General features: G+C 50.0%; 1 protein-coding gene across 17 annotated transcripts in view; it reads left to right on the top strand.

Moving 5' to 3' along the window:
- Positions 1-4532: 4532 nt before the first annotated feature.
- TUBGCP5 (tubulin gamma complex component 5) overlaps positions 4533-11503 on the top strand; it is a 56545-nt gene continuing 49574 nt past the window's right edge. For 13 of the 17 annotated variants that reach the window (NR_148875.2, XR_007064420.1, NM_001354374.2 and 10 more), the window contains exons 1-4: positions 4533-4704; positions 6950-7003; positions 7097-7205; positions 11278-11374. Coding sequence is in view for 11 of the 17 variants with exons in the window: in NM_001354374.2 (NP_001341303.1) it covers positions 4559-4704; positions 6950-7003; positions 7097-7205; positions 11278-11374 (406 nt within the window). In the remaining 6 variants the exon portion in view is untranslated. Of the gene's footprint in view, positions 4705-4925; positions 5121-6949; positions 7004-7096; positions 7206-11277; positions 11375-11503 lie in introns of those variants that run through there. The other 4 variants (XM_047432130.1, XM_017021895.2, XM_047432131.1 and 1 more) reach the window with 4 other exon arrangements.

Raw genomic sequence — 11503 nt, 5'->3', positions numbered from 1 at the left:
CTCTGGCCAGGTGAGGTTATGATGTCCCCCCAGCACCCCTGGCCAGGTGGGGTTATGAAATCCCCCCCAGCACCTCTGGCCAGGTGACATTTATGAAGTCACCCCCAGCACCTCTGGCCAGGTGGGGTTATGATGGCCCCACAGCACCGCTGGCCAGGTGGGGTTATGATGGCCCCCCAGCATCTCTGGCCAGGTGTGATTATGATATCCCCTAGCACCTCTGGCCAGGTGAGGTTATGATGTCCCCCCAGCACCTCTGGCCAGGTGGGGTTATGAAATCCCCCGCAGCACCTCTGGCCAGGTGACATTTATGAAGTCACCCCCAGCAACTCTGGCCAGGTGGGGTTATGAAGTTCCCCCCGCCCCCCGGCACCTCCGGCCAGCTGGGGTTATGATGGCCCCACAGCACCTCTGGCCAAGTGGGATTATGACCCCCCCAGCACCTCTGGCCAGGTGGGGTTATAATACCCCCCCACAGCACCTCTGGCCAGGTGAGGTTATGATGTCCCCCCAGCACCTCTGGCCAGGTGTGGTTATGAAGTCCTCCTGGCACCTCTGGCCAGGTGTGATTATGAAGTCCCACTAGCACCTCTGGCCAGGTGGGGTTATGAAATCTCCCCCAGCACCTCTGGCCAGCTGTGGTTATGAAATCCCCCCCAGCACCTCTGGCCTGGTGACATTTATGAAGTCACCCCCAGCACCTCCGGCCAGGTAGGGTTAGGAAGTTCCCCCCGCCCCCCAGCACCTCCGGCCAGGTGGGGTTATGATGTCCCCCCAGCATCTCTGGCCAGGTGGGATTATGATATCCCCCTAGCACCTCTGGCCAGGTGAGGTTATGATGTCCCCCCAGCACCTCTGGCCAGGTTGGGTTATGAAATCCCCCCAGCACCTCTGGCCAGGTGACATTTATGAAGTCACCCCCAGCACCTCTGGCCAGGTGGGGTTATGAAGTTCCCCCCGCCCCCCAGCACCTCTGGCAGGTGGGGTTATGATGTCCCCCCAGCATCTCTGGCCAGGTGGGATTATGATACCCCCCAGCACCTCTGGCCAGGTGAAGTTATGATGTCCCCCCAGCACCTCTGGCCAGGTGGGGTTATGAAGTCCCCCAGGACCTCTGGCCAGGTGGGGTTATGAAGTCCCCCCCAGCACCTCTGGCCAGGTGGGGTTATGAAATCCCCTCCAGCACCTCTGGCCAGGTGACATTTATGAAGTCACCCCTAGCACCTCTGTCCGGGTAGGGTTATGAAATTCCCCCTGCCCCCAGCACCTCCGGCCAGCTGGGGTTATGATGGCCCCACAGCACCTCTGGCCAGGTGGGGTTATGATGTCCCCCCAGCATCTCTGGCCAGGTGGGATTATGATACCCCCCAGCACCTCTGGCCAGGTGAGGTTATGATGTCCCCCAGCACCTCTGGCCAGGTGGGGTTATGAAGTCCTCCCGGCACCTCTGGCCAGGTGTGGTTATGAAGTCCCCCGCAGCACCTCTGGCCAGGTGGGGTTATGAAATCCCCCCCAGCACCTCTGGCCAGGTGACAGTTATGAAGTCACCCCCAGCACCTCTGGCCAGGTGGGGTTATGAAGTTCCCCCCGCCCCCCAGCACCTCCGGCCAAGTGGGGTTATGATGGCCCCAGAGCACCTCTGGCCAGGTGGGATTATGATGTCCCCCAGCACCTCTGGCCAGGTGGGGTTATGATGTCCCCCCTGGCACCTCTGGCCAGGTGGGGTTATGATGTCCCCCAGCACCTCTGGCCAGGTGGGGTTATGAAGTCCCACCGGCACCTCTGGCCAAGTGTGGTTATGACGTCCCCCCCAGCACCTCTGGCCAGGTGGGGATATAATACCCACCCCCAGCACCTCTGGCCAGGTGAGGTTATGATGTCCCCCCGGCACCTCTGGCCAGGTGTGGTTATGATGTCCCCCCGGTACCTCTGGCCAGGTGTGGTTATGAAGTCCCCCCGGCACCTCTGGCCAGGTGGGGTTATGAAGTCCCACCGGCACCTCTGGCCAGGTGTGGTTATGATGCCCCCCCGGCACCTCTGGCCAGGTGTGGTTATGAAGTCCTCCCGGCACCTCTGGCCAGGTGGGGTTATGAAGTCCCCCCGGCACCTCTGGCCAGGTGGGGTTATGAAATCCCCCCCAGCACCTCTCGCCAGGTGACATTTTGAAGTCACCCCCAGCACCTCTGGCCAGGTGGGGTTAAGAAGTTCCCCCCGCCGCCCAGCACCTCTGGCCAGGTGGGGTTATGATGGCCCACCAGGACCTCCTGCCAGCTGGGGTTATGATGGCCCCACAGCACCTCTGTCGAGGTAGGATTATGATACCCCCCAGCACCTCTGGCCAGGTGGGGTTATAATACCCCCCCACAGCACCTCTGGCCAGGTGAGGTTATGATGTCCCCCCAGCACCTCTGGCCAGGTGTGGTTATGAAGTCCTCCTGGCACCTCTGGCCAGGTGTGGTTATGAAGTCCCCCCAGCACCTCTGGCCAGGTGGGGTTATGAAATCTCCCCCAGCACCTATGGCCAGCTGTGGTTATGAAATCCCCCCCAGCACCTCTGGCCAGGTGACATTTATGAAGTCACCACCAGCACCTCTGGCCAGGTGGGGTTATGAAGTTCCCCCCGCCCCCCAGCACCTCCGGCCAGGTGGGGTTATGATGTCCCCCCAGCATCTCTGGCCAGGTGGGATTATGATATCCCCCTAGCACCTCTGGCCAGGTGAGGTTAAGATGTCCCCCCAGCACCTCTGGCCAGGTTGGGTTATGAAATCCCCCCAGCACCTCTGGCCAGGTGACATTTATGAAGTCACCCCCAGCACCTCTGGCCGGGTGGGGTTATGAAGTTCCCCCCGCTCCCCAGCACCTCCGGCCAGCTGGGGTTATGATGGCCCCACAGCACCTCTGGCCAAGTGGGGTTATGATGTCCCCCCAGCATCTCTGGCCAGGTGGGATTATGATACCCCCCAGCACCTCTGGCCAGGTGAGGTTATGATGTCCCCCCAGCACCTCTGGCCAGGTGGGGTTATGAAATCCCCCCCAGCACCTCTGGCCAGGTGACATTTATGAAGTCACCCCCAGCACCTCTGGCCAGGTGGGGTTAAGAAGTTCCCCCCGCCCCCCAGCACCTCCGGCCAGCTGGGGTTATGATGGCCCCACAACACCTCTGGCCAGGTGGGGTTATGATGTCCCCCCAGCATCTCTGGCCAGGTCAGATTATGATACCCCCCAGCACCTCTGGCCAGGTGAGGTTATGATGTCCCCCCAGCACCCCTGGTCAGGTGGGGTTATGAAATCCCCCCCAGCACCTCTGGCCAGGTGACATTTATGAAGTCACCCCCAGCACCTCTGGCCAGGTGGGGTTACGAAGTTCCCCCCGCCCCCCAGCACCTCCGGCCAGGTGGGGTTATGATGGCCCCACAGCACCTCTGGCCAGGTGGGGTTATGATGGCCCCCCAGCATCTCTGGCCAGGTGGGATTATGATACCCCCTAGCACCTCTGGCCAGGTGAGGTTATGATGTCCCCCCAGCACCTCTGGCCAGGTGGGGTTATGAAGTTCCCCCCGCCCCCCGGCACCTCCGGCCAGCTGGGGTTATGATGTCCCCCCAGAATCTCTGGCCAGGTGGGATTATGATATCCCCCTAGCACCTCTGGCCAGGTGAGGTTAAGATGTCCCCCCAGCACCTCTGGCCAGGTTGGGTTATGATGGCCCCACAGCACCTCTGGCCAGGTGGGATTATGATACCCCCTAGCACCTCTGAGCAGGTGAGGTTATGATGTCCCCCCAGCACCTCTGTCCAGGTGTGGTTATGAAGTCCTCCCGGCACCTCTGGCTAGGTGTGGTTATGAAGTCCCCCCAGCACCTCTGGCTAGGTGGGGTTATGAAATCTCCCCCACCACCTCTGGCCAGGTGACATTTATGAAGTTCCCCCCCTCAGCACCTCTGGCCAGGTGGGGTCATGAAGTCCCCCAAGCCGCCCCTGAGGAACAGGCGAGGCAAGGGCCAGCAGGCACTACTAGCGGGTCGGGACAGCTGCTTCGCTGATGCTGGTTGTGTAGCATGGATGTGTGTAGCGTGACTGTGTTGTGTGGATGGGGCACGGAAATCCGCAGAGACCATCACTGGAGGGAGAAGCTGCAGGGCCGGGAGGGTTCAGCAGGTAAGCAGTTCAGGGTTCCTGGAAAGGCGGGTCCCAATGCATTTGCTGACCGGGCACCTAACGGGCTGCTCTCAAAATCACTGACTGTCACCGAGGCCGGCCAGAGACCCTTATGTATCTGATTCACGATGACACCAGCTAACTCTGAGTACAGTAGAAAACGTACCGTCGGGCAACCAGAAAATGCGCACTCCAGTCCCCACCACGGGACAGCGCCAGGCAGTACCCTCCACAGCCGGAGCTCGAACTGTCGCGAGAATAGCGGTCGGCTTGGAAGTCGCCCGGCGCGGGAGCGCGAACTCTCGCGAGAATGCCGCCAGCTCCGGAGGCGACTGCGGCAGGAGCCCGAGCTCTCGCGCGACAGGCACCAATTCGTTAGACGCGCGCTGCAGGAGCGCGGAACATGGCGCGGCACGGGCCACCGTGGAGTCGGTTGGACGCGCAGCAGGAGCGCGACGTGCGGGAGCTCGTCCGGGGTGTCGCCGGCCTCCAGGACGAGGCAGACCCCAACTTCCAGCTCGCCCTAAACTTCGCCTGGTCCAACTTCAGGTGTGGGGCACGGCGCGCGGGCGGGTTCCCGGCCACAGCCCGGAGCCCGCGCGTGGGTCCCGCACAGCCCGGGGTCGGGGCGCGCTGGGGCAGGGCATGGGGCGGAGGCGGGCGCGGCCTCAGGGAGCCTTCGCAGGCCCTGCCACCGCCTGCTCCCCGCCGGCCAGCGCTCTCGGCGCGGTGCCCTGCGCACCACAGGGCGTGTTACCCGGGACGCGTCCTGATCGTCACGGGGAAAGCGTGAACTGGGTTTCTTGCCGGCCGGCGCGCGCGCCTGCAACCCCAGCGCTCTGGGAGGCCCAGGCGGGACTCCAGGCCAGCTTGGGCAACGTAGCAACTCCATGTTTATAATTTTTTTTTTTTTTAAATTAAAGAGATTGTATTCTCACTGACTCCTGCTCCCTGGTCAGCCCAGTGTAAGATCTCTCACCCTGCTCTCCTTTTTCCAAAACGCGTGTCATGACACTGATTTAACCTGTCATTACTGTCTCCTCCACTTCCACTCCAGCTAGAATGCTGCATCTCTGCACAGCTCCTGGCACGTAGCACGCTGAGTCACCTAATACAATTTCTAATGCAGTTTCTCTTGTAACTAATTTTTAAAGACTTACAGAATTTAGATATTTACGTAAAGTGAGATCTCCTATTTTTCTTTATGGGAGATGTAAATTAATACTTTTAGAGTCATTACCCATAATGAAATTATTACTAAAAAAATGTTAATGTTAATATTCTACCTGTTTAATTTCAGTAAAAATCTTCTTGAATAATGAACAGTTTTTCAAAATCCGTAATCTTAGTTACCTTAATGATCATAGCCATAAAGTGTCTAGTTGGCTTATAATAGGAATACGGGGCTTTCAGATTCTTTTAAACCATGCCAAGTTTCTGAAGTAATAAACTGAATTCTTAAGTGTAACTTATAAAAATAAACAATGTGTGAAATAGGTTATACAATACAGAAACTTAAATGCTGAAATCCAAGTTATTTTTCTACTAATATTTCTAAATGACAGTAGGCAGATTGTCATCATTTTAGAGCTGGGAGAGACGTTGGAGGTTACTATTTTCATTCACAGATTTCAGGAACTAAATTATAATAGGTAAAGTGGTGTTCCATTCACCCATTTACTGGCCTAGAATCATGTGTTTTTCAGTAGTGTAATTTTATTTAAGTACAGATTGCTCGCTTTGATACTAAAAAATGGAAAACATTTTTTGCATAGGCTATGCTATGTACATATACATTAGTTGCATAGGCTGTGCTGTAATTTTATGATGCTTTAAACCATCAGAAAAATGAATAGTTCATGTTTACATTCTTGAAAATTGTGGACTGGGCGCGGTGGCTCACGCCTGTAATCCCAGCACTTTAGGAGGCCGAGGTGGGTGGATCACGAGGTCAGGAGATCGAGACTATCCTGGCTAACACGGTGAAACCCGGTCTCTACTAAAAGTACAAAAAATTAGCCGGGCGTGGTGGCAGGCGCCTGTAGTCCCAGCTACTTGGGAGGCTGAGGCAGGAGAATGGCGCGAACCCAGGAGGCGGAGCTTGCACTGAGCAAGCTCACTTTTCTCTAACTGAAAAGTAGCATCTCCTTCTATTATGAATGAAGGCAGCAAACCATAGCAGTATTAGCCTACCTATGACTTTATCACCAGTAGAAATCGCATACTGTTTTCACATCAGAGTTGTAGATATTTGTAAATGTTGTTTACTGTTACTTTAATGGTAGTTAATTGGACCTACTGCTAAATCTTGTTATTTAATACTTTCATAAATAACATTTCTTGCCATATCTTAAACTTCTTTAAATATTTGACAACTGTATCTCAGTATAATGGGATTCCTTTGTATTTATTTTTTGGCTTTAAAAATGTTATTCAGAGAAGGGGTCCTTAGGCTTCACCGGGCCTCACTATGGCATAAAAAGGTTGGGACCACCTGATGTAGAATGTGTTCAGCTGGACTTAGGTACAGGGGCTTATGGGAAGACAGAGGAGCCAGAGGACAAGGTTGGGAGGGTCAGGAAGAACCTGTGTGCTGGAGAAAGGATGCTTGCACAGTCTCGGACACGGTGATTATTTGCCTGCCTGATGGTGGAGGTAACGGAGGACAAGGTACACTCCATTCTGGAAATGTGTAGCTGAGTACAGAGCATATGGGGGATATGGAGGGCCATGAGATGAGTTCACTTACCTGTGTGACAGAGTTGGCATAAGAATTGCATTTTGTCTTTAATAGATTTCATCGTTTCTTGGATGTCAACAGCCACAAAATAGAAAAAACAATCGAAGGGTAAGTCAGTGTGTATATATACGCATCCAGAAATATATGTATTTTCTTATAGATCTTTTTAAGATAGCTTTATAATCTTTTCTTATATTTTAGAATTTATGAAAAATTTGTCATTCATTCTGATCTAAGCAAAGCTGCTAGTTGGAAGAGATTAACGGAGGAATTTCTAAATGCACCACTTCCCAGTATAAAGGAAATAAAGGTATGCCTTCAATTATGAGATCTCCACTGTGTATTTTACTGTTTCCTATCTGATTATCGTCAATTTGTTTCAGTTACTGTTTAAACATTCTATTTTAGTATTATCTACTGGCTAACGGGATCTCTTGGAAATTTACTTAAATATTGCCATCAAACCAGATATGCCTCAGTTTGTGATGAAAGAAAGAGCTTGTTTTTAATCATTTTTTCACCTCAGTCCTACTAAGGAAAGAGAGATCAGAGATTGATACAAATAGTAGCATTGTTTGGGTATCTCAAAACTTTCAAATGGTTTCTCAGCACTTGGCAGTGACTGTCTGTAGATGCTTACTAGATGCCTGGTATACTTTCATATTGTTTGGGGGATTCCCCAAGACCACCTTTTGGCATAATGATTTGCTCAAAGGATTCACAGAACTTAAAAAAAAAAAGCTGTTATCCTCACTGTTAATAGTTTATTACAGTGAAAGGATACAGATTAAAATCACCAAAGGGAAAAGGTGCTTAGAGCAAAGTCTAGGAGAAGCTAGGCACGCATGTCCAAATGTTCCTTCCTAGTGGAGTCACCTGGGGATGCAGTTAATTCTCTCAGTAACAGTATATGACAACATGTGCAAAGTATTACCCTCCACTCCCCCCAGGGCCACTCGGCTGAGCCTTGGTGACCAGCATTTTTATTGGGGGTGGGTCACATAAGCAAGCAGAGCCCACATGGCTGACCTTAGCTGCTGAGTCTGTAGCCCCCTAGAGGTCAAACCAAGGATGGCAAGCGTATGGAAACAGCTGTGGGTTCCCTGAACACGGTGGGACCACATTCCCTAGCTCTGCTGTGACACATCTTGTGCCTACATAGTTCTTTCCCTTTCTCCTGCCTGAGGAAGCTCACGTTTTAATATTAAACTCAGGCACTGTCTCCACACATGCTATGTATTTCAATTCTTTATAGTTCCTTTCTTGTCTCCCCCTTTAAAAGGCACATTTTACAGGCATAGGGCTCTGTGTCTGATTTGTTCCCGGACACCTAGAGCACAGTGGACAGTGCATGTTTGTTGAGGGAATCAGTAAGGCTGTGCAGTCTTGTCTGCTTCACTATCCCCTCTGTGTCCACAGCCCCCACCCACTTACACAAGGTGGGATTGGTTATCCTTTTCTCTTGCTGTGTGGCATCTTGGATGTGTTTGTTATGGCAGAGGTCCCCAACCCCCACATGGTGGACGAGTACCAATATGTGCCTGCTAGGAACAGGGCTCCATGGCAGGAGGTGCAGTGGGGTGAGTGAGGATGACTGCCTGAGCTCCACCTCCTGTCAGATCAGCGGTGGCATTAGATTCTCATAGGAGAGCAAACCCCATTGTGAACTGCACATTTGAGGGATCTAGGTTGCATGCTCCTTATGACAATCTAATGCCTAATGATCTGAGGTGGAACAGTTTCATCCTTGAAACCAACCCCCACCCAACAGTCCATGGAAAAATTGTCTTCCACAAAACCAGTCCCTGGTGCCAAAACGGTTGGGGATTGCTGTGTGGTGTAGCAATAACTTCACACTTTTTTTCTTTTTTTTTTTTAAGACTGAGTGTCACTTTGTCACCCAGGCTTGGAGTGCAGTGGTGCAGTCTCGACTCATTGCAACCCCCACTTCCCAGATTCAAGTGATTCTCCTGCCTCAGCCTCCCGAGTAGCTGGGATTACAGGTGCCCACCACCATGCCCAGCTAATTTTTTGTATTTTTAGTAGAGACAGGGTTTCACCATGTTGGCCAGGCTGGTCCCGAACTCTTGACCTCAAGCAATCCACCTGCCTTGGCCTCCCAAAGTGCTGGGATTACAGGCATGAGCCACCATGCCGAGCTTCTTTATTATCCTTTTAATGTCTGTGGGATCAGTAGTGATGACCCCTCTTTATTTTCTGATTTTAGTAATGTATGTATACTCTCTTTTTTTTTGTGGTTAGTATGTCTAGAGATTTATTAATGTTATTAATCTCTTCAGCGAATCAGTTTTTGGTTTTGCCATTTTTATTATTGTTCCTGTTTTCAATGTCTTTTTGTTTGTTTGTTTTTTTGTTTTTTGAGACGGAATCTTGCTCTGTTGCCCAGGCTGGAATGCAATGGTGCAATCTCAGCTCACTGCAGCCTCAGCCTCCCAAGTAACTGGGATTACAAGCGTACACCACCCCGCCCGGCTAATTTTTGTATTTTTAGTAGAGATGAGGTTTCGCCATGTTGGCCAGGGTAGTGTCGAACTCCTGACCTCAAGTGATCTGCCCACCTTGGTTCCAAAAGTGCTGGGATTACAGGCGTGAGCCACCCCGGCCTGCTCTGTTGATATATTTTCAAGCTCATGCCAGTCTACTGGGTGAGCCCATCAAAAGCATTCTTCATTTCTGACACTTTATTTTTCATTGGAACACTTCGATTCTTTGAGTTTCCATCTCACCACTTATATTTCTGATCTGTTCTTCCTTGTTATCCACATTTTTCATTAGCACTCTTAGCATATTAATCATAGTTGTTTTCAATTCCCGGGCTGATAATTCCAACATCCCTGCCATATTTGAGTCTGGTTTGGATGCTTGCTCTGTCTCTTCTGACATACTGTCAGGTGGCCAGTGTTGTCTACCTGGACACCTGAGCCCAGGACTCTGGGGCTTTTATTGGGGGCTTATCTCTTAGGCATAGGACCTGTGTGACTGACCACAATTACTGAAGTTCCAGAGCCTTCAAAGGAAAGCAGGTGTTCACCTTCAGTCACACTGTTTGCGCAAACTATCTAAACAGACTAGTACAACATGGTTCAAGATCTGAGCATACAGAACACATTTGCCAGTTCAGATATTTCAAGAGCTCAGTTACCACAAGCTGGCCAAGGCTTATTCATGAAAATAAGCCCTTTTGGGGGATGCTGAAGGCTTTGGCAATTCAGGCTTGCTGAGTTAATGCATTCCCACACAGCTAATATCCCAATTTAAAAATCAATCATATAAATAAGAAAAGACTGGCAATCAAATAGAAACTTGAACAGAGGAGAGTAATACCCAATAAAGGAAAATCAGTAATTTTAAGCTTATGGAAAAGTGCCTACCATTTCATAAGATAAGATAAATGCAAATTAAAGCAACACTGAGAGAATGTTTTTCACCGATCTGATTAATAAAAGGTGTGGGAAACAGGTAATTCTATGCGTATGTATATTTGTATTACCTGTATGGAATATATTTTGGCATTATTTCTCAAAATTCCAAATGCAAACACTCTTTGACTTAGTGTTTCACTTTTTAGGAATTTATTATACAGATAAACTCTTATAATTATGAAACAACAGCCAAGTGTGGTGGCCCATGCCTGTAATCCCAGTACTTTGGGAGGCCAAGGTGGGCGGATCATGAGGTCAGGAGTTGGAGACCATCCTGGCCAACATGGTGAAACCCCATCTCTACTAAAAATACAAAAGTTACCCGGGCGTGGTGGTGCGTACCTGTAATCCCAGCTACTCGGGAGGCTGAGACAGGAGAATCACTTGAACCAGGGGAGGCTGAGGTTGCGGTGAGCTGAGATTGCACTATTGCACTCCAGCCTGGGCGACAGAGCGAAAATCCATCTCGGGGGGAAAAAAAATATGAAACAACATAAGTTTGTGATAGCAAAAGATTGGGAAAAAATCTAAATTTCATTAATAGGGGACTGGTTAAATAAAATATGATACATCTTAGTTAAACTATCAGGCATGTTTAACCTTCATGATACATATTGCCACAGGAGAATAATTTTTAACCATAATGTTATACTCTAAAGACATTTCCGTCGTTTTAGAAATAAAAAGCTGTCATCCACTCAGATCTTATACTTGTTAGAAATATAGAACTCAGATTTCAGATGGCTTTGAGGTTCCTTATGTGTATGCATTTGAGCTATGAAGAAGTTTGAAGGTTAAGGATTATTTAGGTATAACTCATGTTTTCTCAAACCAGGAAAAAAATTGGGGACATAACTGTCATGGAGTTATCTTTACTCAATCTGGTGTAGAAAGCATTTCCCAACCTCAGAGATTTATGTTCTTTTTTTTGTTTTAAAGACAGATGCACATTATTCCATACTGTCACTTCTTCTGTGTCTGTCAGACTCTCCTTCAAACAGCAGTTATGTGGAGACACCAAGAAATAAAGAAGTGGGTATGTTACTAGATTCCTTAACATATGAGAAGTAAAAGAGAAATTGTTTGATTACTTAGTTGCTAAACACTGAGTTTTATTGAAACTTCTAAAAATCTGTGAAACTAAAGTATTTCTATTGCTTTAGAT

The sequence above is a fragment of the Homo sapiens genome, chromosome 15 (genome assembly GCF_000001405.40).
Source record: "Homo sapiens chromosome 15, GRCh38.p14 Primary Assembly".
NCBI lineage: Eukaryota > Metazoa > Chordata > Mammalia > Primates > Hominidae > Homo > Homo sapiens.
This window is presented reverse-complemented; position numbering and strand designations above follow the sequence as displayed.